The sequence below is a fragment of the Homo sapiens genome, chromosome 20 (genome assembly GCF_000001405.40).
Source record: "Homo sapiens chromosome 20, GRCh38.p14 Primary Assembly".
Taxonomy (NCBI): domain Eukaryota; kingdom Metazoa; phylum Chordata; class Mammalia; order Primates; family Hominidae; genus Homo; species Homo sapiens.
The window spans coordinates 61,308,936-61,335,510 of record NC_000020.11 but is presented as its reverse complement, the minus strand read 5'-3'; the positions used below and the strand labels follow the sequence as shown (position 1 = coordinate 61,335,510).

Below are 26,575 nucleotides of genomic sequence, written 5' to 3'. Positions count from 1 at the left end.
TCCCTCTCAGTGGTGAGACCACCTTGCCCTGGAAGGCCCCACTGAGTAACTGGCTAGCAGGAACCCAAGCCAGATGCGACTTATTCATGGTGCCAATAATCACATCTGTGCATCACACACAGTGCAACTGAATATTTTAAATGTCACATCCCTTTGCCTGTAATCTTTAAATACTTTACCTGTGGCTTATTCCTAAGTTTTTGAACAACATGAATATAATGACCTTCGATCTCCGTTGGACCAAATACACGGCAGCTTTACCTGTTATGTTGAACACAGGGACGACTGCTGGCTTGGCCCCTGCACATTCATCCCAGATCGGCTGGGCCAAGAAGGAAGGCATCAATATCAATATATTGACATTTGTCAATGGCCGCGAGACCTCCTCTTGCCAACTCTGTAAAGTGGCTCATGCTGAACAACACGAAACCACGTTAGAGAGACTCGCTGGATGTCTTGTATCTCATTGGCTCCTCAGCCGCATCATCGCTGTCATCATGCTTATTAAGAGGCAGAATGCCTCTTACTGAGAAGTCTTTGGAGGACAGGCTGGAGCCTGGGGCTCAGCAGCCTGGGAAAAGGAAGGTCTCAAGGTTTCCTGCAGAAAACTCATAAGCAAATGAAGGAGGCAAAGTGGAGTTTCTCAGCACATCCAGCACCATCGTGCACAGGAGGAAGCCTGAGGTTCCAAAAGCTGAATGCCAATGACCCTCACAGACTGAGCAAAGGACATGAGCTTCCACCCCAGGAGGCGAGGGCTACAGACGGAGGCCCTGCAGAGGTGTGGGTGCTCATGTCCCCCACCCCCAAATCCATATGTTGAAACCCAGCCCCAGCGTGGTGGCACAAAGAGGCGGGACCTTTGGGAGGGGTTGGGTCCTCTGCCCTAATAATGGGATTAGTGCACTTATCAGAGGCTTGAAGATGCAGCAACAGGCACGGTCAGGGAAGCAGAGAAAGAGGCCGAACAGATGCCGAACTGCTGGTGCCTTGATCCCAGCCCCCCCGGCCTCCAGAGCTGTAAGCATTGATTTCTGCTGTTTGTTTATCCATTAGCCGGTCTCAGGCGGTTTGTTATAGCAGCCCCAACAGACTAGAAGAGACCAGACGCACTGCACCACCCACTGCTGTGTGACCTCAGTGACGGTTTAACCTCTCTGAGCCTGATCCTCACCTGGAAAACAAGGAAAACCAGCTCACAGGTCTGTGAGACTTACCTGTGATTATGTGAGACACCACAAAAATAGGAAGTACTCCATGAGCCTCATTTCAGGTCAGATGAGGTTTTATAATGACAGAGACACTGTTTCAAGAGTTGCAATAGGAAGCAGACTTGGGGGGTTACAGAATGGCTCAGGGAGGCCCTCAGAGGGGGTGGCCCAGAGGCTTACTGTGGTCAGTGGCTCCAATTCCAGGCCCTCTTGGGGTGACCAGAGCTGCACAGGCCAGGACACCCTCCAAAGCTGGAGAAGAGGGGACACCTCCCAGGATGGACAGGGGCTACCCTTCTCAGCCTGTGAAGAGTCAAGACTTACCTACCCATTGTCTCTCCCGCCCTCACCGACCAGGAGGCCCCCTCCCACCCAGTCACCTCATGGTGCCCCTGGTCTGCAGCCTGTATGCAGCCATTGCCAGGCCCTGGCAGGACACAGATGTGCCATGTGCTAACGGTGGCACCAGAGCCATGTGGAGTGTGTTTCCAAAGCAGGTCTCCCAGACAGCCCAGGGGTTAATTTTGAGCCACTCTGATACAAGGGCAGTAAACCACATCACGATGCTCTTCGCCTGAAAGCGCAACCCAGGGATACCGCAGAGGCCTGTGCAGCCTTTGGTAAAGGGAAGGCAGCTCTGTGGGCCACGTGTGGCCCGGGGTAAGGGCTCTGACTGTCCTTGCAGGTGGCTCTGGGAGGAGAGGGTCAGCCACACACACCAACTACAGGGTAGCTCCCTGTACAACTGCACTTCTTAGGGCTGCACCTGCCACTGCAGTCACCCCTCCTGGAACCAGGTGAGAGCTCTGTGCTGGGTCCCCCTTGGCTGGATTATCTGGTGACCTTTGTAGTGAAAGAATGCCTGTTGGGGTCTCATTAAGCCAGAGCTTCAGGAGCCACATTGACAACCCGCACCCCTGCAATGTCTGAATTGAGGTTTCTATGACTCAGATTTTGCCAAATGTCCAGAAAAAGAGAAACTTGCCAGCTCCCCCATGCAGGTGTGTGTGCATGTGTGTGTGTGTGTGTGTGTGTACATGTGTGTGTGCATGTGCCTGTGCATATGTGTGCATGCGTGTCTGCACGTGTATACGTGTGTGTGATTACAAGCAGTTGTCACACCTACCTTTGTTTCTTTTCTTTATTAGAGTTGCCACAATGCCTCTAAAAATAGTTCCCTGCTCTCAAAAGGCCAAGGAAGTCTGCCACCAACCCCAGGTAAGTTTCTTAGAAGCCAAAAAGCGCCACCCTTTACAAACAAATAAGTGTTTAGTTTGGTCCAAAAATAAAGACTTTGCCCAGCGGTGGGGAAGAAAGGCTGAAGCTTTGTTTTAGGATAATGCTGTAAGAGGCTCTCGGGGCCTGTGAGGGCAAGGGCGCGTCAGCCTCCGCAGGGGCTGAGCAGAAAGCCAGGGTGATGAGCACTGTGACCACAGCCTTCTCCCGAAATAGCCTGGACCATCAGAAAACACAGGGTGAGGCCAGAGGAAGGACTGGCGCCACAGCCGGGGCAGGGACAGTAACACCCACCAGGAAGCGAATAACTTCCTGCAAGACCCAAAGCAGGAGAGCAAAGAGAAGAAACAAAAATGCTCACACCCCCAGGGAGGAGGGCAGCCAGCCAGAAGTCTCTAAACTAGCCAAGGGCCTTCGCAGAACCTTCAATTACCCCCACTGCAGGGTGAAGTTAACTGGAGGTAACTGACTGCACCTGGCCCTAGTGCCTGCTGCCCAGGGTGGGGCAGGAAAGGCACAGAGGCGGCAGTGGCAGCCAAGGGGATGCACCAAGAATCCCCCTACCGTAGATCAGAAACCAGAAGGAGACCTAAGCCCTCTTCTGAGAGAGGTCCTCCTGTGGGCCTTCTGGGATCACACGAATCCTTGCACTGTTGAGGGCATGGGAGGCAGCAGCCCTGAGGCTGGGGACGCTGTGCAGTGGGCCAGCATCATGGGTTTCCCGGACTCTCTAGGGAAACAGCCTGGCTTGGCCAGCTCTGAATCCATAGCCACAGAGACCTTGACACCCAGAAGGAAACCCGTCACCGCTCCGCCCACCCTGATGAGAGACTGACATTTGCTAGCTCCTTCCTGATGGACGTCCAAAGCCTGTCTCCTGGAGGAGTGAGGGCCACGGGCAGGCTGGCAGAGGGGGTGTGACTGAGAAGGACCCTCCTCTTCTCTGGGAAGCCGGGCATCGCTGTCGAGTGTCTGTGTTCTCAGCCAGGAGCCAGCCTCTGTCCACTCAGAGATACCTTTCCAGAGCCCACCTGTGCCTGGCCCTGCTCTGGGCACTGAAGAACCATGGCAGAGAAGGGGGCAGAGGCACAGCTCCCTTCCCTGTGGGGCGCACAGGCGACCTCCCTTGGAAGAGTTTACTCATGCCCTCAACACACGCTTTTTACACGCCTACTGTGTGCCAGGCACCGTTCAGCACCAAGGACGGCGGCAAGGGCTTGCGGTCCAGGGGAAGAGACAGAAAGCCAGCAGATGAGAACTGCTCAAGACTGCTGCAGGCAGGCTGAGTGCTGTAACTAACACAGGGGACCTGGGGACAGTGCCTCGCATCTCATTTCTGTCAGGTGGTCGGGGCAGGAGGTGGCTCTGGGGCAGGTGGCCGGGGCAGGAGGTGAGCCTGGGGCAGGTGGCTGGGGCGGGAGGTGGGTCTGGGGCAGGAGGTGGGCCTGGGGCAGGTGGCCGGGGCAGGAGGTGGGCCTGGGGCAGGTGGTCAGGCAGGAGGTGGGGTTTGAGCTGAGACCTGTATGTCAGCTGTGGGCAGATCAGAGGACAGCTCTGGTGGGGGACATGCTGGACAAGTGTGAGGAACAGAAAGGACAGTGTGGCTGATGCACAGACACAGTGAGGAGATGGCCAGGCCAGCCAGTGGGAGTTGGCTCTGGGTGCCGGCGAAGGGACTGGACACAGAGGCTAAGCAAGCATGAACAGGGCAGTGACATGGTCGGACTCATGCTTTTCACAGTCTCCTCCTGACCACCATGGGGAGGACTCAGGGGACCAGAGGGCAGTGAGAACAGGCTGAGGGAGGGCCTCATCCCAGGGTGGGAGCTTTAGAGGGTGGCTATGGAGATGGTGCAGCTGTGGCCATGGCAGGCTCCTGGGCACTGGGCATGGAAGGAGATGGGGACAGAGACGCCGAGCCCCAAGACAGCCTTCCCTGCTGCAGCCCTGGCAGAGATCCTCCCACACGTGGGGTGGCTGTGGAAATGCACCCTCGCACAGGTGTTAGTGGGAGTGAAATTGCAGAATCTCGAATGATCATTCGATGACATCCACCAAAATGGCCACCTTATAACTGACCCAGAAATTCCACTTCTAGGAACTTGTTTCACAGACCCTCTCCCAGGTGTGCAGGGGAACTCAGGGGAGGAGGATTTTATGATAGGAAACTGGAAACAACTCAATCTTTATCATTTGGGAATATTCTAAGCAAGTACAGCCCAACCACAGAGCAGGAAACCAGGCAGCGATTGGAAGGGATGAGAGAATTTTGCAAAGAGCCGTGCAACTTTGATAATGCTCTTATACGAAAGTCACTTTCAGTACTTAATCTCACGTGAGAAAAGCGAATTCCCAAGGTGGCAGCCGTGTTCTGACCCCGTTCGTGGGAATGAGGGCCATCCTGCTGTAGCATGTCGGTGCCCAGCCAGCCGCAGGCACCAGGTGCACTGCCCAGAAGGCAGGCGTTCCCCGTCAGGACATGCGGATACTTTTCTTGAAGGCAACTGCCTACAACGACTTGAATCTTATTCAACCAAAGCACAGGCTGCTCTGGTGACAATCAAACCATCACAAGGGACAACCTAAGCTCAACATCACTGATCATTAGAGAAATGCAAATCAAAACCACAATGAGATACCATCTCATGCCAGTCAGAATGGCGATTATTAGAGTCAAACAACAGTGGATGCTGGTGAGGCTGTGGAGAATCAGGTACACTTTTACACTGTTGGTGGGCGTGTAAATTAGTCCAACCATTGTGGAAGACAGTGTGATGATTCCTCAAAGATCTAGAACCAGATTCCTCAAAGATCTAGAACCAGAAAGATCTAGAACCATTTGACCCAGCAATCCCATTAAATGGTATATACCCAAAGGAATATAAATCATTCTATTATAAAGATACATGCACGCGTATGTTCATTGCAGCCCTATTCACAATAGCAAAGACATGGAATCAACAGAAATGCCCATCAATGATAGACTGGATAAAGAAAATGTGGTACATATACACCATGGAATACTATGCAGCCATAAAAAGGAACAAGATCATGTCCTTTGCAGGGACATGGATGGAGCCAGAAGCCATTATCCTCAGAAAACTAACACAGGAACAGAAAACCAAACACTGCATGTACTCACTTATAAGTGAGTGCTGAATAATGACTCACAGGGAGGGGAACAACATACACTGGGGCCTGTCGGGGGATGGGGTGGGGGGGAGGGAGAACATCAGGATAAATAGCTAATGCACGTAGGGCATAATACCTAGGGGATGGGTGATAGGTGCAGCAAACCACCACGGCACATGCTTGCCTATGTAACAAACTTGCATGTCCTACACATGTATCCTGGAACTTAAAATTACATTAAATTAATTTTTTTTTTAAAGTGACAATCCAGGGTCTGCGGAATCCAAGTGGCTAAGCTCTGAGAGGAGAGCACAGGCTCACTCAGCTTTCTGATGTTTTAGGGGGAACTATGCTGGAAAGAGATTGATTGAAAGTACAAAGCAGGAGAGAGAGAGAGAGAGCAAGAGCCCTCTCTTATTATAAAATACAGAAGCCAAGGGCAGAAGAGCCACTCACAGCCACCTCAACCCACATCCCAGACCCACGGGGGACCATGAGGACCTGGGTGCCCTCCACGCACGCTGCAATCCACTGCAGCACACTGGGCTTAAAGCCACCTCGACCCGCGTCCCAGACCCACGAGGGAACCATGAGGACCTGGGTGCCCTCCACGCATGCTGCAATCCACCGCAGCACACTGGGCTTAAACACTGGAGCAGAGTGGATTCCAGTGCAGAACGTATGTGAATATTTCATATCAACTGTCAAGTACAGACAGTCTCCAACTTAAATGACAGCTGAACTACAATTTTTTGACTTTATGATGGTACAAAAATGATACACGTTCAGTACAAACCATCCTCGGCACCCACACAGCCGTCTGTTTCCCACTTTCAGTGCAGCGTTCAATAAATTGCACAAGACACTCAACATGTTACTATCAAATCGGCTTTGTGTTTGATGATCCTGCAAGTGTTCCGAGCACGGTTAAGGGAGGCTAGGCTAAGCCATGATGCTCAGCATGTGAGGTGTATTAAGTGCATTTTCAACTAGCTATCTTTTCAACTTGCAATGGGTTTATTGGGCTGTAAATTAAGGAGCATCTGTACAATGGGAGTTTTCATCATTCAGAGCTAATAGGAAAGGCCAAGGTCCTCCTTGAGCAAACTATTTTTTATTTATTTAATTAACTAATTTATTTATTTTTGAGACAGTCTCCCTCTGTCACTTCAGGCTGGAGTGCGGTGGCACAATGAGGGCTCACTGCAGCCTCAACCTCCTGGGTTCAAGCAATCCTCCTGCCTCAGCCTCCCAAGTAGCTGGGAACACAGGTACATGACACCATGCCCAGCTAGTCTTTTTTTATTTTTAGTAAAGATGGGGTTTGGCCATGTTGCCCAGACTGGTCTTGAACTCCTGGGCTCAAGCAATCCTCTTGTGTTGGCCTCCCAAAGTGATGAGATTACAGGTGTGAGCCACTGCACCTGGCAAAACTATTTTTAAAAACAGCAATTTTGGGCCGGGCGCGGTGGCTCACGCCTGTAATCCCAGCACTTTGGGAGGTCAAGGCGGGTGGATCACAAGGTCAGGAGATTGAGACCATCCTGGCTAACACAGTGAAACCCCATCTCTACTAAAAATACAAAAAATTAGCCAGGCATGGTGGCATGCACCTGCAGTCCTAGCTACTCGGGAGGCTGAGGCAGGAGAATCGCTTGAACCCAGGAGGTGGAGGTTGCAGTGAGCCGAGATTGCACCACTGCACTCCAGCCTGGGTGACAGAGCGAGACTTCATCTCAAAAAAATTTTAAAAAATAGCAATTTTATTAGAGAGTAATTTGAGTCCACTCTATCTAATTCACATAAATAAAGACCTCTTTGTCCCCCTGCATCCTCTAACCTGCTCCCTAGCTAAACTGTACATTTAACAAATATCTTTCTAAAAATGTTGTACAAACACATATAAGCACAAATATCATCAAACATACAGTCCATCTCCCACAAAAGCATCAGTATTGTCCTGTGAATTTGCTTTGTTCACGTTAAGATCCGTTATTGACCAAATTTCCATGGCCATTCATAAAACTACACCTGATCCTTTACGCAAGCCGTCTGGTGTCCTGTTCTGTGGATGCTCTGGAGTGAGGTGAGACAGTCCTCAGCTGCTAGAGATGTGTGTAATCTTCAGTTTCCTATTATAAATAGCCCTGCAGTGAAGACCCCTGCACACCTGTGGGTACATCTATAGAATAAATTCCCAGAAGTGGAATTATTGGGTCAAAGGGTGTGTCCATGTTACATCTTGGTGGATGCTGTCAAAGGACCATCCAAAATGTGCAATTTGTACTCCACCAACTCCCTGCACGAGAATCGATTTCCCTACAGCCTCCCAGCCCTGAGCACCCACTTTCTAATCTTCGCCAATCTGACAGGTCAAACAGGAGATCAGAACTTTCTAATCTTTGCCAATCTGACTGGTCAAACAGGAGATCAGAGTTTTATTCTGCATGTAGTAAATGTGAGTATCTTTTAAAACTGTTTCTCAATCACCTAAAGTCCATTCTCCACTGGTTCACAGAATTTAGCCTCTCTTTCTTCAACATCCCCAACCTCCACCAAATTGAGTTGTGGGTGTTTATCTTATTGATTTCAAAGAGCTCTTTATTTATCAAGGAAAATTGTCAAATATATTTAAAAAGTTTTGCTCAGGTTTCTATTTATTTCTATAAAAATGAAATTGTGTGTTTTGACAGTGAAGAACTTCAATTTTTATATAGCCACACATATCTGCCTTTTCTTTTATGGCTTCTGGGTGGATACATTTTTTTAGATAAAAGATGAGATTTCAAAGCCATCATTTGCTTCCAGTAGACCACTTCACACAATGCTCACAGGATCCCAGGGCTACCTCTTCCCTCTCCTTTGCTGCAGAATGGCTCAGAGAGACCAGGATGAAGAGTAAGGGGTAATCTTGCCTGGTGGAGGTAAATCTTGAAACTTCTAGCCAGTAAAAATGCACCTGACAAGCAGGTTGTTTGTAGATGACATATAGGAAGGCAGTACTGAAAATAGTTATTTCATGTATCTTACTACACCTCACAGCTGGCTCTTGCTGAGTCTGAGGATTACTGAGATGAGAAGTCGTAAGAAGTAACACATCTTGCATTTACCAGTGCCTTCTATCCACCTAAAATCAAATACATTTTTCCTCCAAGGAAATGAAAAAAAAACCTCATTTTTGATACCAATTGATGTGACCTGGTGTGGGAGAGGCTGTGTCCTGTGGAATTTCACCACCCGACACTCAGTCAGCACATTTGCAAACCCCACATGCAGCCACATAGGCTCTCCCATGACCCCCAGTGTCTTCCAGAATACCTGTGTGCCTTCTGGATCAAGGAAGAATGGAATTCCATACAGTGTAATTTTAAGGCTAGTTTGATTTTCTTTTACTGAATATTTTTTAACTGGTTATCTACTTCATATGCTGTGACAGATTCAGGGTGATGCTTGCACCATTGATTGACTAAAATGTCATATCCTCCTCTGGCTAGACTATCGGAGGATTTCCAGAAGATTCTGAAGCCACACAACATATTGGAAAGAGTGTTGTGTATTTCATAAAATAACATTTTTTTCTCAGCAATTTTCCTCTTATGCTTATTTTTTAATCAGCAAACCAACAGGTTTCAAACAGGTCACTCAATCCTTTATTTGTTGAATATGTTCACAAAACCTAGTATGAGCTAAACTTTGGGCTAAGCCCTTCCTAAAACAAGGCAGTGCGGTGGAGAAGTATGCAAACGGTGGCATATCCATCCCTGCCTGAGCCAAGATTCCATGAGAAAAACTTGGACCTGCCACCTTACTCCATCCTCCACTCTATTTGTCCCTTAAAGTTAGTGTCTGAAAACAAACAGAAGGGAAAATGTAGTTACAGTGAGTTCCACTCCCACTACTATCACGGGTATATTAGGACAGGCAGCTCCTCACTTCCTGATGGGTTTGAACCGGTACCGCCACCATCAGGGAGAGCGAGAAGCTGGGAATGGCACGGCACTGACCAGGCCAACCAGACGGGCTCTGGTGGGAAAAGAGGCAACCCACTTGCGTCGGCACCCGTGGCAAGAAGCACACATGGTGTTGGGTTTTCAAGAAATTTTCTAGTAAAGCCTGTTAGCTTTGTTGGAGGCAGCCCTCCAAAGCTGATGGCCATGGAACTCTTTACAGACAGCGCTGCTTTTTTTTCTTTTTTTAAAATTAAACCTATAAACACTCTTGCACATTGAGTGGCATTTTCAACCCTTCCTGTCGGGGCCCGCTTTGCTGTGGCCCCCCCAAGTCGCACCACCCTGGGCCAGTGCTCCTGGCTTCATAATCTCTCCAAGAACTCAAATGCTGTCCCCTGCACATCTAACCCCCTGCCCCACAGACCCCCACCTGATGAAAAGGCCACTTACTGCCTGAATTTCCTCTCTTCCCCAAAACACACCCCTCCCGTTCTGACATCTCTCAAGAAATGCAGTCTTTACTTCTCTTTTTGCCCTTTATCAGAAAAAAAAATGAGAAATTTCAAGGCCCTACTATCTACAGGTAAGGGGACATTAACAGAATTTAAAATAGCAACTTCACTCCAGAAAGAGAAAGATACCTTTGGATTTGCCTTACGGCCACGTGAAACAAAATTCAGGGATGCCAGCTTCCTCTGAACCTCTTCAAGAGATTTTCTACATGAAAGACTTTAAAAGCCAAGACTTTTTTTTTTTTTTCCAGTGACCACTTACTTATGACCCACCGAAGGATGTTGCAAAAATGCCGTCCACTCTTTCCAGATGGCTGGCTGTGCGTCAGGCACCGTGAGATGTACATGATGTGTTCCATCTTGTCTCACATCCACATAGCCCCATGGGGAAAGGGCCTCTGGTGGCTCTGGACATGAGGCACTGGCAGGTTACGGGACTCGCCCAGCATCCCCCAGCTGCAAGGGGTAGGAGCCAGGACCCCTGCAGGCATGGCTGTGAGTGCTTCCTGCAAGCTTAAGAAACAGGCTCGATGTGGTCTCGGAAATTGTTCTTGCATCTCCTTATTTGATGGCCTCCCAGCGAGTTCCATGTCCCAAAGCTCTCCTGGGTCAAGTGCCTGCCACACCCTCTATAAATGGGGAGGTGTGCAGATGGACACACAGCCGAAGTGCCTTGAAGATGACTTAGGGCAACTCTTCCTGGGCGCTAGAATCTCCTCCACTGCTCCTCTTTCATATTCATTGTGGATTGGTGTACTGGGTTGAGCAGCATGCTTGCAAAAGTCACATTCCTCTGGAAACTCAGAAGGTGCCCTTATTGGGTACAAATTAGATGAGTTCATACCAGACTAAGGTGAGTCCTAACCCCATGACTGCTGTCCTTACAAGAAGAGGGAAATGTGGACACAGAAGAGACTCAGACACACCAGGAAGAGGCCACGTGATGAGCCAGGCAGATACTGGAGCATCTGAGCCCACAGCCAAGGTCTGCCAGCAGCCACCAGGAGCTGGCCAAAGTCAGGAAGGGTCCTCCCCTAGAACTACCGGAGGGAGCATGGCTCTCTGACACTTTGACATCAGAGTTCTGGCCCCCAGAACTGAAAGAGAAAAAGAGATCTGTTGTTTTAAGCCCCCCCAGTTTGGGAAAATTTGTTGTGGCAGCCCCAGGACACTAATGCAATCAGTTTCAATTTAATATTCAAATTCCTCCAGGAGGGCTTCCTGGACTGTACCACATACAGAAGCCCCTGCTCAGGCCCAGCATCCCTGGCCCTCTGCAAATCTGTCTCCACAGCCAGGCACACACTTCATACCCAAAGGCCAGGACCACATTTGGACGATCTGGGTCCCTACTCAGTATCGCACACACTCCCACACCCTTGGCAGCCAGTAAGGACAGACAATTGGATTTTTATACAAAAGTAAATGGCATAACTGCTGTGTCAAGTTCTATCTTGTTGGAAACCATCTTTGCGATCTCCCCTCAAATGTGCTGGCACCAGAGCTAATATTTTCCCGTAACTTCAGGTTCAAAGGCCTTGTCTCTGGGTAAGTCACAATTATCATCTCCGTCCTTCCACTCTTAGGATCATACAATCTCAATTTCCCCAACAGGGAGGCATTAATTGCAACAAGCCTCTTTGAAATGCTCTCAAGAGCTAAAACAAACCCATTTTGCATGTACTAAAGGTGACGGCAAGATGAGAGGCCCCTCCTCTCCAGGGAGAGCCCCCTTCAGTGTTCCTGCATAGCCACAGTCCCTGTGGCCCCAACCTAGAAACCCAAGCATCCAGAATGTGCTCTGATTGCCGAACTGGTGACTAAAACACCCACGAAGACGCCAGTCTTGGTAAATTATCACCGTCAGGGAGCAGGGGTGGGGAGGGGTTGCAGGCCCGCGTAACATGACAGAATGGTGGCAGAAGCTGAATGTCACTGGCTCCGACGTCAGGTGGCCAAAGAATTATAGGCATCACACATTATTTTGTGTTTGGTGTATTGTTTCTTCCTGTGCATGGATTCAGCCAACTGAATAGAACTTTCCAATCAGGCTGCACGTGAGCCATGAATGCCTGGTGGAGGTGAAGCACTCACTCGATGAAGACTTTCCCAAACATCCCCTCCTGGCAGGCTGATGAACAAATGTGTGATGAGTTCATGCAGAGGCCAAGACGAGGGGACAGGGGCTGACCTGCCACCCACTCGGGACACTGGGCTGCCCTGCAGCTAGTGGCAATCACTCCTAACGAAGAGAAGTCCTCTAGGTGCACACTCCCCTAGGGAAAGCCAGCTGACTCTCAGAAGACCCCGTGCCGCAAGGGAATCCTCATGCCTCCTTGCTATCCTCTTGCCACCGTCATTCCTAATACTCAAATTTGGAGAGGCGAGGGGTATATCCGGCAGTGCGTCCTGGGCAGATAAGCTCAGGCCCTTGGATGCTGGCTGGAAGTCTCAACTCTGCACCTGTGAAATGACAGGGAGGATCCTTGAATGTTCTAGAGCTCAGTGTTCCTATCTGTAAAAGATAACAAGACCTCCTGACAGCCTGGGACATAAAAGGGGACACCAGGGATAGAGCCTGTTGTGTGAAGAGCATCCAATACACTCTTGAAGAAATGCACTGCTGCGATCAAAGGCCTCTGCACAAGTCCACTGGGAACTGAACCAGGGGCCCCCACCCCAGTCTGTCACTTTCCTCTCCAGTTGTGAGTGTTCCGCTCCCTGCCATCTATCTGTTCCTTCCAGGATGCTACCCCTCGGTGGCTGCGTCTCAGCGTTGGATGAAGTGAACATATTGTGTGGCTGGCAAACAGCCTTGCCTGGAAAGGGCTCTGGGACAAAAGCTGCTCTGGGCACAGCTTCCTGCTGCCTCAGCACACCCCAGGATCCCGAATGCTGCAGTGACAGCCACTGCACACACCAGGACCCAGGAGGGGATTCAGGCACCAAGGAAGGGACTCATCCTGGGCTGTAAAGGGAGACAGAGAATCTTGACTTCTTTCTCCCTTCATGCCAGTCTGGGAAGGAAAGGGGAGGCGGCTCAGATACTGCAGGAGCCAGGTCTCCGCTCAGTTCAGCTGCAGGTGTGGGCTGCGGATCCTGATGCCGGCACCTCCCAGCTGCTGCGGGAGAGACTGAGCCTGGTGCACCCACAGAGCCAGGCGAAGCCTCAGGTGCAGAATTAGCAGCCTCCCCTCTCCTGTGTATGTGGGGAGTTGGAGGGGATGGGGGGTAGTTAGTCAAATGAGGAACGTTAGCTCCCAACCACAGGCCAGCAGAGTGCAAAGCACACAGACGGCACCAACCCCATTGCACTGAATGAATAAATAACCATCCCCGAAGCAAGTACAAGGACCCGGAAGAACTGCTGGACCCGAATCCTGGGGTTCGTATCCTGGGGGGACCTCTGACCAACCACGTAACCTCAAGCATGGGGTTTCATGTTCAATGTCACCTTCCTGAGCCTCAGTTTCCCCACCTGTAAAATGGGGATAATAATGCAGCTCCTTGTTATATTATTATATAATATTTATTATTATAATATATGCTACAATATATTATTCTTATATGTTATATTGTTATGCTTATTGTAAGACTGCAGAGAGGACTGAGCTAAGGAACATGAGGTGAGCGTCTTTGGCAGCTATTGGACAAGGGCTCAGTGCTGTCACCTGTTAACATCATGGAAACTAAGTCATCTGTTGATCACGGCATCATGTGACATGCGTGGCACGCAGCATCTCCCAGGCCTGTGCTGAGAAGCACCAATTCTGCAGGCTACTCCAGGGAGGCGGCTCTGCCATCAAATAGTGGCAACGGCTGAATTTGACGAAGCCGGAAGTCCTCCGCTCACCGCACGTCTACATGGAAGGTGTCAGCACATACATCAGGTACCCAAGTACCCAAGGGAGATGAGGCCACGTGGTGTCTTCCAAACACACTGACCCGTGGAAAAAAATCCTTATATTCTCTCTCACACACACACACAATGTGAAATGTTTTAAGGAAAACTTAACAACATTAGCATTCCAAGGCTATATTTTTTAAGACATCAAAAATTAAAAAAAAATTTCCAGCAAAAAAGCAAAGATAATCAAGCCGTTTTTTGTTAAGAGTAACCCCGCCTCTGGAATTAGCAGAACCTGCCTCGCCTCCTCCCTCTGCCCTCCTAAGGTGAAACCCGCTCTTCCCTAGATCAATGAGAAGACTCTATTCATTTCCCAGGAAATTAACTGTTCTAATTTGCAGAGTTAAATAAACGCCAGAGCTCTCTGACCTCAATCAACGACTAATGAGACCCACAGAGCCTTCTCTCTCTTCCTCTCTCTCGCATGCGCTCTCGAGGTGGAAATGTGCGGTGTGGCTGACCACAGGCGGGACTAGGTAGGTCAATGCCACCCCACCGAGGACCCACGGTGTCAGGGGACCCTGGGGAAGGACCCGGGGGTTTAAAAGGCTAGAGCAGCTGGACAGAGCCAGCCTGGAGGAGAGACCTGGGACACTTCCCCACAGCAGGGGCAGGAAGAGGAGCTCCCCTGGCTCCCGCCTAGGCCTGGAGCCTGTGCACCCCGCCCTGCCCACATACTGTCTTCACGCCACAGCCCTGCCCACCCCTCCAGCCACCTGGCCGTGTCCCCACACTCCCTCCCAGCACAGGACCTCTGCGCACGCTGCTCCCTTTGCCCAGGCCCCTTTCCTGCCTCTTCATCTGCTTGGCTCCTGTTCATCTTCAGGTCTCACTAAAGCCAGGCTTCCTCGACCTCAGCAGTGCTGACACCTGGGGCTGAAGGGTTCTCTGCTGGGAGGCAGCCCTGGGTAGGGCACTTGGCAGCACCCCTGCTCCCACCTCCCAGATGCAAATAGCACCCCCATCCCCCACTCACAAACATCAATGTCTCCAGATATTGCCAAGTGCTCTCTGGGGGCAGAACTGTCCCAGTTGAGACCCTCTGGCTGAAGTAAAACATTTCATGGTAGTGGCTGAGACCACCAGGTCACCGCTCCCTGTGGAGGCCAACCCAACCCCACCGACACTCCAGTCTCACCCACACCTGCATGGTTTTGTGGTTGGTGCTCCTCTTGCCCACCAGGCTGTGAGCCCCCAGGGACTAGAAAAATGACACCCTGTGCCTAGCACTGGGTCTGACCCACGGCAGATGCTCAAAGATGCTGGTTGAATGAGCAAATGAACAATCGTGACAAAAACTGAAACAAGGAACGCAGGGAGAAGACACAGTCAGCATGCATAAGACGCCTTGGGAAGAGACCCTCAGGCTCTTCTGGAAATCCATAGGCCCTGCAACATCAGCAACACCGAGGCCCAAATAAATGCAGAGAGGGAACAGTCCCACCTGGGAGATGCTGCAAAAATACGAGCAATTTTGCAAAAATTATTGTGGGAAGAACATTTAACATGAGATCTATCCTCAACAAATTTCAAGTGCTCAACAAAATACCATTGGCTGGATGTTCTGCAGTGGATCTTCAGAATCTATTCACCATTTTTTTTTTTTTTTAGATGGAGTCTTACTCTGTCACCCAGGCTGGAGTGCAGTGGCATAATCTCGGCTTACTGCATCCTTCGCCTCCCAGGTTCAAGTGATTCTCCCGCCTCAACCTCCTGAGTAGCTAAGGACTACAGGTGCCTGACACCACGCCTGGTTAATTTTGTTTTTTTTTTTTTTAATTGAGATGGTGTTTTACCATGTTTTGGCCAGGGTGGTCTTGAACTCCTGGGCTCAAGTGATCCATCCACCTCCACCTCCCAAAGTGCTGGGATTACAGGCATGCGCCACTGTGCCCAGCCAGAACTTATTCATCTTGTATAATTGAAACTTTATATCCCTTGAATAGTGACTTCCCATTTCCCCTGCCCCAGCCCCAGGCAACCACCTACCATATGATCCAGCAATCCCACTTCTGGGTATTTATCCAAAAGAACTGAAATCAGATCTCAAAGAGACCTCCGCATGCCCGTGCTCATTGCAGCATTATTCAGCAAAGCCAAGATACGGAAGCCTTGATGAGCCCACAAGGTGGACGGATGAATGAGGCTGCACATGTGATGCACTCTTAACAGTGCGATCTAGCCCTGCTTCCCGGTGGAGCATAACAGGGAATTTTTAATCGATGAATTCTCTGACCTGGGAAATGTTAGCAATCCCAGTGTGTCCTTTTGGCCCTACACACGTCACCTTCCTGAGCCTCAGTTTCCCCACCTGTAAAATGGGGATAATAATGCACCTGCTTATTGTATTATTATATATTATAATATTTATTATAACATGTTATATGTTATATTTTTATATGTTATATTATTATGCTTATTGTAATACTACAGAGAGGGCTGAGCTAAGGACCATGAGGTGAGCGTCTTTGGCAGCTACAGGGCAAGCGCTCAGTGCTGTCACCTGTTAAGATCGTGGAAACTAAGTCATCTGTTTATCACGGCATCATGTGACATGCATGGTGTGCAGCATCTCCATATCAGTGTGTGGTGCCCCACCATGGCTCAGGCCGATGGCAGCATCATTGCGGGCAAGGAGGGGTCTCTGCCCAGCTCTCTACCACCGGCATCTGTGCAGTGGCAGGCACAGAGAGGGTGACTGGGCATTTGTGAATAAACGAATGAAAAGAAACATTACATGGGAAAAGGGGCAAGTCACCACTTCAACTCAATCAGTGCATATCCAGGGATTACTCTCTCTGTGCCAAACAAGTGGTAGTAATTAATAACATAAAGCCAAAGAGCTCAACACGCTTCTTGACCTCACTGAGCTTCTAATTTCCTCATCAGTGGCTATGCATTGAGCATGTATTCTGACTGAGTATCACTGATTCCAGGCTCCTCCTGGGCACGAACCAGGCCTTCTGGACCATGGTGCCCTTCTAGAGCGCATGCCCACATCATAGCCTCCAGCAATCCCTACCCGATTCATGATCTAATAATAAAACCAAATGGATAAGGTTTTCTTAGGAGAGTCCCAGTTAATCCTAAGAGATGAGGCAAGGGGTAAAGGAGAAAAAAAAAGAACGTCAGTTCAAATCATTGTCACACGCTTAGGTTTTTGAATCATTCAAAGCAGTAAATCTTGGACAGGATCAAACAAAACCCAAGGCTGCATCCGCTGGCACTCACTGCTGGTCAGCTGAGCACTGTGAATCCCAGGCTGGTGTCTTCTGCAAAGCCGGGGCTGTTGGGAAACTTCACTCCAGATGGAGAGGAACATACGGGAGAGTCGTCAACGCAAAGCAAACTGCTGTCTAAACAGGAGCCGGGCAGTTTAACATCTATTAGGATGGTGAGTTCCCCTTTCACACATCCTGCCACCACAACAGCACAGGGTGGGGGCGCATGGGTCCCACCTCCAGGTTTCAGGTGAAAAGTGTCCCTCCAGCCGGGACGGAGAGCAGGAAACCACCCTCCAGCCCTTTAGTCTCTCTGGGTCTCTTAACCTCTACCCATTTAGGTTTGCTAAGAACAAACACAGTTGGCGTTTTCCTCCAATAAGTGTGCACAACACTTCACAGTTGCAATGGCTGGATCATTCTGTTTTTCCCTAAATGCCATGGGGCATTAACTCTACTTTTACCCCACTCTGACATGTCCCTTGAGGAAACTCGTGCAAATTCACCCTTGCTGGCTGGCTGGACACCCACAAATTCACACGGAAAAAACGCTTCCCAGAAGTGCCCTTTGTCTAGAACCGTGGGGGTCTCGGGCATGGTGGAAAGGGGGTCCCTGCTCCCAGGGGACACTGGGCAACATCTAGAGGCATTTTTGGTTGTGGCACCTAGGGGAGGGGTGCTACCAGCCTCCAGTGGGTGCCAGCCTGGGAGTCTGCTCAACACCATACAGTGCACAGGACGCCCCACCACAGACTCATCCAGCCCCCCATGCCTGTGGCGTCAGGAAACCTGGTCTGGAGCAATGGTGAATGCAGGCTTTGGCAGGCACGTGAGCTGGGAGATGCAATGGGCCACAGACCTCCCCATCCAATCAGGTCACGAGGGTGGGGGCTGCTAATAAACACTTCAATGCAAACAGATTTGATAGAATTTACAGTGCAGGCACCTGGAGACTCAGTGGCAAAGGCGCCTTAATTTATCCCATGTTAGAAATAGCAGGTTATTCGGGAGGCTGAGGCAGGAGAATGGCGTGAAACCGGGAGGCGGAGCTTGCAGTGAGCCAAGATCAAGTCACTGCCAGGACTGCGGGCGCTCGCCACCACAGCTGGCTAATTTGTTGTATTTTTAGTAGAGACGGGGTTTCACCGTGTTAGCCAGGATGGTCTTGATCTCCTCACCTCGTGATCCACCCACCTCGGCCTCCCAAAGTGCCGGGATCACAGGCATGAGCCACCGCACCTGGCCAGGAAATATATTTGAACATGGTATTCAGATTTCTAAATAGTAATAAAAATAATAAGTATATAAATAAACTAAAAAAAAAAAAAGAAATAGCAGGTTACGTGCAAGACTTATCACTCCACTGCAAGGCACGTCTTTAAAGGCTGCTGCCAGACGTTCAGGTACAGAGGCTGCACGCACCTGAGGGAGGCTGGAGGACCCACGTCCAGGCGCCTCCCCACCCAGCCCTGCTTCTCGGCTGTGACTATCATGCTGTACAAATGGCTAAAACAAAAAGGGTGGCCAGGCCCCAGCTCTGGGCAACGATGACTCAGAAAGAGAAACTCCCCTCACCCGAAAAGCAGAGGCGGCGGCTCTAACGACAGCAAAGTCCAACTTCACTTTCATCCTTTTTCACATGGCCAGCATTTCTTCACTACCAATTAACCAATCTGTTTGATCAAACCTTCCACCCATCAGTCAGCAACATTTGTGGCCTACTAAATTAATTGCGCTGAAAAGCAACCACTTTCCCTTTAACAAGCAAAGCGATCCCTGCTTCGAGGATGCAGCAGATGGCAGATGGGAAGGGAGAGAGACAGAAACCTGATAAGAGGGAGCTGATGACTTTATTCTTCCTCCCAGCCAAAGGTTTGTTCCGTCTCTGTTGGAACAACACATTTGTTCTGCCGCCTGAACTTGATTTAGGGGGCCAAGTGGACTTTTTCAAACTTGTTAGAGCCTTCAACTTATCGACTTAGGTCAGCGCGGCGGTCTCTATCTGCGGGCCGCAGTGCCTTTTCCATCTCCGATGTTCCAGAAAATTAGATTTTCCTTGTCCTAACTTCTTCCGATGGATTGGATTTTGAAAAATGCAGATCTGTCAAGAAGTCTATCCAAAATTGCCCTTCTGTTTGGGAAGTAAACTTCCATTTCTTGTTTCATAGACTGCCCTGAAACCTGCCCCATCCTAACCCAAAGGAACTTGCCAACAGCACCCAGGAGGAAGAGGAGGACGTGAATTAGGAAAACTGAGTCCTGTCTTCAAAGGGAAGCTGCCAAATCCTTCCTCCCCCTGGAGAGCCCCTCAGTGCCTGCATCAGAAACCCAGCTTCCAGGGCCCTGTGGAAATCGCCTGTTCCCTTGGAAGTCCTCCACCCAGGGGCAGATCACTTGAGCTCAGGAGTTTGAAAGTAGCCTGGGCAACATGGTGGGACCCCATCTCTACAAAAAATACAAAAAACAAAAAATTAGCTGGACATGGTGGTGTACACCTGTAGTCCTAGCTACTCAGGAGGCTTATGTGGAAAGATTGCTTGAGACCATGAGTTTGAGGCTGTAGTGAGCTATGATCGCACCACTGCACTCCAGCATGGGTGACAGAGCAAGACCATGTCTTAAACAAAAAATGATAATGAAAACGTAAAAAATCATCATGTTGTATACCATAAATATATACAACTTTTATTTGTCAATTTGTCACGAGACAGAGAGGGAGCCTCATGACGAACAGGTCCAGCACACTCCTCGTTTCTCCCCGACATCCTCCTGCCTGGTTCTGCGAGTTTCTTGGCATCATTCAATTCTCACGTCCTTTTTCTTTCTGCAGCTGGAGACAGAAACCTGGCTACACCGAAGCCGGGCTGATGGGCTTTCACAGCTGAAAATCTGTCTGAGGCTGGCTGGCTTCTGGTCTTTTTTATCAGGGCACCCACCTGTCCCCAGGGCTAGCTTTCTCTTTGCTCTGAGCTCCACACTCACTGGAAGCTCAATGTCCCCCAGTTTCTCTCCTTTTGGATACCAGGCATCGGTCTGGCATCTTCCTGCCTCATGCCCAGAGGAGGAAACGTTTCTTTCCCAGAAATCCAGAAAGCCATGAGCATCTCACTGACCCCATCCAGATCACAAGCCCCACCCAACCCATTCAATCACTGCAGCCCCAGAAATGAGATGAGCTTCAGGATGAGGCCGGTCCCCCTTGAGCCCCTATGCACCTGAGCCCAAGGAGGAGGAGTCTGGCATGGAGCTTCCAGCTGTGAGTGGAGGCTTTCGTGTTTAGACCCATCTGGGCTGAGTCATGTTTAAAATAAAGGTGTTGATAGCCAAAATACATAAGGAATGCAAACAAATCAATAGCAAGAAAACAATGTAATAAAAAAATTAGCAGAGGACCTGAACAGACATTTCTCAACACAGATATACAAATGGCCAACAGGTTTATGAAAAAGTGCTCAATATCACGAATCACCAGGGAAATGCAAATTCAAACCACAATGCGCTGTCATCGCACACTTGTTAGGACGGCTACTGTCAAAACGACGAGGATAACAAGCCTCGGTGAGGACGTGGAGAAAAGGGAAGCCTCCTCCTCCTCCTCCGCTGTTGCTGGGAAGATAAATTGGGATGAGCGTTATGGAAGATAGCATGGAGGTTCCTCAGAACATTAAAGGTAGAACTACCATACGATCCAGTGGTCCCACCTCTGGGCATCTATCCAGAGGAAATGAAGTCAGGATCTCAAAAAGATCCCTGCAGTCCCAAGTTCATTGCAGCACATTCTTCTCAACAGCTGAGATATGGAATCCACCTCAGTGTCCACTGGTGGGCGAACAGACAAATGAATTGTGGTCTACACACGTACACACAAGGGACTAGTAATCCACCATAAGAAAGGAAATCCTGGCATTTCAACAACATGGATGAAACTGGAGGACACGATACTAAATAAAACAAGCCAGGCCCAGAAAGACAGATACTGCACGATCTCACTTCTACGTGGAATCTAAAAACGTCAAACTCATAGAAGCAGAGAATAGAACAATGGTTGCCTGGGGCTGGGAGTGGGGAGAGGGGAGCTGTTGGTCAAAGGGGACAAAGTTTCAGTTCTAAGATGGGTGATTTCTGGGGATCTAAGGTACAGCTCAGAGACCAGGGGTAGCAACACTGTATGGTTAATTTGAAATCTGTAAAAGGAACGGACCATAAATGTTCTCACCTCTCACCACAAAAGGTAACAAGGTGAAGTGATGGAGATGTGAACTGACTTGATCTGGAGAATCATACGTATATAAAATCAACACATTGTTAGCTGGGTGCTGTGGCTCACGCCTGTAATCCCAGCACTTTGGGAGGCCAAGGTGCACAGATCACTTGAGCTCAGGAGTTTGAAAGCAGCCTGGGCAACATGATGGGACCCCATCTCTACAAAAAACAAAAATTAGCTGGGCATGGTGGTGTGCACCTGTAGTCCTAGCTACTCAGGAGGCTGAGGTGGGAGGATCACTAGAGGCCATGAGTTTGAGGCTGTAGTGGGCTATGATTGCACCACTGCACTCCAGCCTGGGTGACAGAGCGAGACCATGTCTTAAACAAAAAATGATAACAAAAATGTAAAAAATCATCATGTTGTATACCATAAATATATACATTTTTTATTTGTCAATTATACCTTCATAAAACCAAAAGTGACCCCAAAACACTGCACTGTGACCACCCCTGTGATGTTCCCAGGGCAGACAGCGCTCATTCATCTCATGCAGGCTGCAAGCAACCGTCTGATCGTGAAATCCACGCTGCTCTCACGCAGTGGTCCATGCACTGTGAGACACGCCTGGTGCCTGGTGGCTTCCCGACAGGGTTTGTTTAGATGAAAAACAAAGCGTGCCAAGGGCGACTCAATGGTGAACTAAAAAATGAGAGCGAAAGATGCCCTTCATTTTAAAAGATGAAGGGAGCTGTGTAGGCTTCCCGGGGAGTGCTCGCACCTACTTCCCCACCCGGCTGCAGGTGCCAGCTCCAGAACCCTCCCTGCTGCTTCTGGGTCTCCGGGCTCTTCCCTTTGCTGGTGGCTGGAGACTCACAGTGAAGCATGCTGAACCACTCCGCAAATCCCTCATCAGACACTCGGGCTAAGCCAGGCCCCACGTAGTGCACGATTGAGAGTGGTGAAATAAATGAGATTTCAAACACGACCAGGCCTCGATGAGCCCGCATAGCACAGTCACGTTGGAGCAGAGCCAGCCTGTTCTATGCATTTCCTCCCTGCAGTATTAGAATCGGTCTTTGGAAGGCACTGGGGGCCACCCTGGGGCAGGGATAGGGAAGGGCTCACCGCAACCCCACAGGAGTGAGACCCCCAGGCCCTGGAGGCAGTGAGGGGGTAGGAAAGCTTGGATCGAGGGAGAGGACCTGCCGAGCACCCCTGCAATCCCAGGCAAGCTCGCTTCTCTGCACTGGGCAGGCAAGAGCAAGCCGAGGATGGGTGGGAAATGCAGGCTGGAGAGGAGGGACTGCAGGCACTTTGGTGTCCCGTCCCACAAGCTCTAGGGGGCAGAGCTCGAGCTCTGTTCTGGAAGGGGTCATCATACGCTGCACAAAATTAATAACCACTCACATCCTCGGACATGGAGTAGCTGGAAGGAGTGACGTGTGCAAAGAGGAAGGAGAACGCTGGCCAAGCCATCAGAGATGACCACAGTAGGGTCTCACGAGGAGGGCCAGGCTCTAGCGAGAAAGTCACTCCCAGCTGGGCCTCAGCAAAGAAGGGGGTGCAGTCCTGATGGTGGGGACTGCAGGGGCAAGGGGTCCCCAATACGGACCAGCTGGAAGGTCCACCTGTGCACCCGGGGGCTGGCGGCTCCTCACTCTGCCTCCCAGGCAGGGCCCATGATCACCAAGCAGAATGGGCGCACACACTCACACATGCACACACACATGCACACACCACACCACTCACATCATGCCACACATATGCATACATCACAAAATGTACACATCGCACACATATACACACACACCACACACATGCACACACCATACACACACTGACATATGCATACATCACAAAATGGACACATTACACACATATACACACACACCACACACATGCACACACCACACACACACCGCACATATGCACACATCACAAAATGCACACATCACAAACATCCCACACGCATACACAACACACACATGCACACACCACACACACACCACCCACATGCACACACCACACATCACACACATGCACATACATATACACACCACACATGTGCACATCACAAATACATGCAGTCTCACACACAACACCCATGCAAACACATATATGCACAACACATGCACACATTACACACATGCAGGCATGTAAACACATACAGTACACATGTGCACGCACAATGACCTCACAGGCTCGGGCACAGGAGGAACAGGTGTGGATGCAGCCGGCTCCGCAGGAAGCCAGGGTGCTGTGCCATGCACTGGCCGCCCCGCCCTGGCGCGTCCCACACACTCCCACCCACTTTCAGATGTTTTGTTTTTTCAGGCTTGACAAGAACTTGAATCACTGAGTAAAACCGCAAAACCATTTCTCTGGCCCTTGAGATAGTTCGTCAATTTTTTTTTCAATTTCAGTTTAACATTTCTTGATGCAGCATATACATCCAACCCATAGGTCTTGGCCAGTTTTGAGTAAACCAATTAAAAGAAAATTAACACAAACACAAACTTTGCTTAATTGGTAACACCAAAGTGGTAAGACAGTTTTCTAGACTTTCCCTTGGTTACTAGTGAGGTGTAACATGTTTTGTCTATGTTTACTAAATATCTGAATCTGCTGTTCTGTAATTTTGCTGTTTTGTACTTTGGGCACTGTCCTAATTTGCATTGTTCTCACCAGTCTATATTACATCTTTATATGGAAAGGTGAGAAGTTCTTCCTCATTATTTGTAGAAATTATTTTCCCAATATGTTTGCCTTTTAATGTGAAACCTTTTTAATAAAATTTATTTCTAAAATATTTATTGAGTCAGATCCATCTTTTCCTTTCTGATTTCATTACTTTTTTTTCTGTTCAACAAGAACTTCTCCATGCCTATTCAAAGTTCAGATAAACACACATTGCTGGTGTGGGTGTGTGTGGGTGTGGGTGTGTGTTTAATGAGCTAATTTTAAACGTTTGATCCACTTGGAATTCAACTAACTACCCATCTCACCCAGAACATCTGAGCCTGAGTCACCGGAGGTTCGCTTCACTGTATGGATCTGATGGAAACGAGGAGGACCAGGACACCACCCGCCTCCACTGTGCAGTGGAGTGGGGTGGGGACACCTTGGGAAGCGTTAGGGCTGACCTGTGTCCCCGTCAAATTCCTATTTTGAAGCCCTACCCCCCAGTACCACAGAACGTGGCTGTATTTGGAGCCAGGGCCTTGGAAGTGGTGATTAAGGCAAAATGAGGTCCTTAGGGTGGGCTCCAATCTGAGGTGACTGGTGTCCCTGTGGGAAGAGGGAGCTAGGACGCAGACACGCAGAAGGAAAATCATGGGAAGATACAAAAAGGAGACAGGATCTGCAGGCCACAGAGCCAGGCCCCAGGAAAACCCAACCCTGCCAACACCTCCATCCCAGACTTCCAGCCCCCAGAACAGTGAGGAAACGACCTCCTGTTGTTTAAGCTGCGGGTACCCAACCCCGGGGCTGCAGACCCATGGCAGTGCATGGCCTGTTAGGAACCAGGCTGGACAGCAGGAAGGGGGCAGCTGGAGAGCCAGCATGGCCGCCTGAGCTCCGCCTCCTCTCAGATCAGCAGCATTAGATCCTCACAGGAGTGCAAACCCTACTGTGAACCGCGCATGGGAGGGATCCAAGGTGCACGCTCCTTATGAGAATCTAATTAATGCCTGATGATCTGAGGTGGAACAGTTTCAACCAGACACCAACCCCCACCCAACCCAGGTCCATAAAATAGTTATCCTCCACGAAACTGGTCCCTGGTGCCAAAAACGTTGGGGACCACTGGTTGAAGCCACCTGGTTTGTGGTACTTAGTATGGCAGCATGAGCTGAGTAGGACATGGAGCCTTGCCCTCCCGTCCTGGCTTGTGCAAGACGAACCCCCATCACCCACTCTAGCAAAGACCCCCAACCAGACAGTGGGCTGAAGACACTCAGCCTACCCACCCCAGCTGGCTCTGGGCTGGTTCCAGGTGGCACCATCTTGCAGCCCACATTCCCATGGGCTTTGGAGGGGGGCAGGTGACCTAAGCCATCCAACTGGCACGAACTTTGGAATTTTACAAGGCCACCCATTTCTGTAAGCCGCAGGAGAGCTGTCCTGCAAACAAATTCATCTTGCAGGGGACAGGGGAGCAGAGAGAGCAATGGAGAGGCCACCCTAGCTTCTGCCACACCTGGCCAGCCCCTGCCACACTTCTGCTCCATGTCCTTCTTCTCTTTAATAGATTTTTCAAATCCCTAAGGCTCCCAAGTAATGCATTCAATAGGACGAAACTGTCCTAACTCTTTCTGAAACATTGCTTAGTTCACCACTTAGACAGGGCCTGGCACTTGCTATATGTTCATGAAGCTTTTGTGGAATTAAAGGACAAGGGAATCTACAAATTAGTCTTTATACTGTTCAAATCCCCACTAAATAGAATAATTAAGTTCATGCATTTCCCTGAAATAGGAACACAAAAAGGTACTGACCACTTGGGGAAACTTTTCAAAGTTTTGTCTATAAACCATTTCTCTTCCTAAGTTTTTCCCTCCTTTTTTTGCCTTGCTTCCAGATCACTGTGTTCTCAACCCCATATCCACTGCTAAGTAAAATGCCTCAAATGAACATCTAGAGGAGGAGGGGGCCCCCAGGGCATCTGGAAACTCGAGGAAGACAGCTGAGCACCTCTATGCATACCTGCATGGTTCTGGAAACTCAAGGAAGACAGCTGAACACCTCTATGCACACCTGCATGGTTCTGGAAACTCGAGGAAGACAGCTGAACACCTCTATGCACACCTGCAAGGTCATCACAGTGAGGCGCCCCCATCCATGTCTCAGTGCCACAGCCTGCACACAAGCTCCTGCTGCACCCCTACAGGGACAGCCCCCTAGCCCCAGGACCCCAGCACTCAGCCAGCTGGCCTCAGGACCCAGCTCCAGAGAGATGAGAGGATCTCCTGGGCACCAGCCGAGCTGCACAGGGCCAGCCTCGCGCTCAGAAGCGCCCTGTGCTTGGCTCCATGCTCTGCCGTTGCCATATTGAAATTCAGTAATTTTTTAACAAGGGGCTCCAAATTTTCACTGTGTTCTGGGCCCGAAAACATGCAGTCAGTCCTGCTCCAACTGAGGTCTGTCAGGAAGTGGGAGGCCTCAGAGCACCTCTGCTGGACTTCCCATCAGATCCAG

The 26,575-nt window shown here is 49.8% G+C and overlaps 1 protein-coding gene across 3 annotated transcripts in view, besides 1 other annotated feature; it reads right to left on the bottom strand.

Moving 5' to 3' along the window:
* The window catches only part of CDH4 (cadherin 4), a 688,357-nt gene that overhangs the window by 605,107 nt on the left and 56,675 nt on the right, over nt 1–26,575 (bottom strand). The gene's annotated exons all lie outside the window — the stretch shown is intronic.
* Nucleotides 17,373–18,248: an enhancer, noted in NCBI's record as "H3K4me1 hESC enhancer chr20:59892319-59893194 (GRCh37/hg19 assembly coordinates)". NCBI's record gives its function as "activates a minimal SCP1, AML or CMV promoter by ChIP-STARR-seq in primed H9 embryonic stem cells {active_cell/tissue: H9 hESC(primed)}" and the evidence as "EXISTENCE:reporter gene assay evidence [ECO:0000049][PMID:30033119]".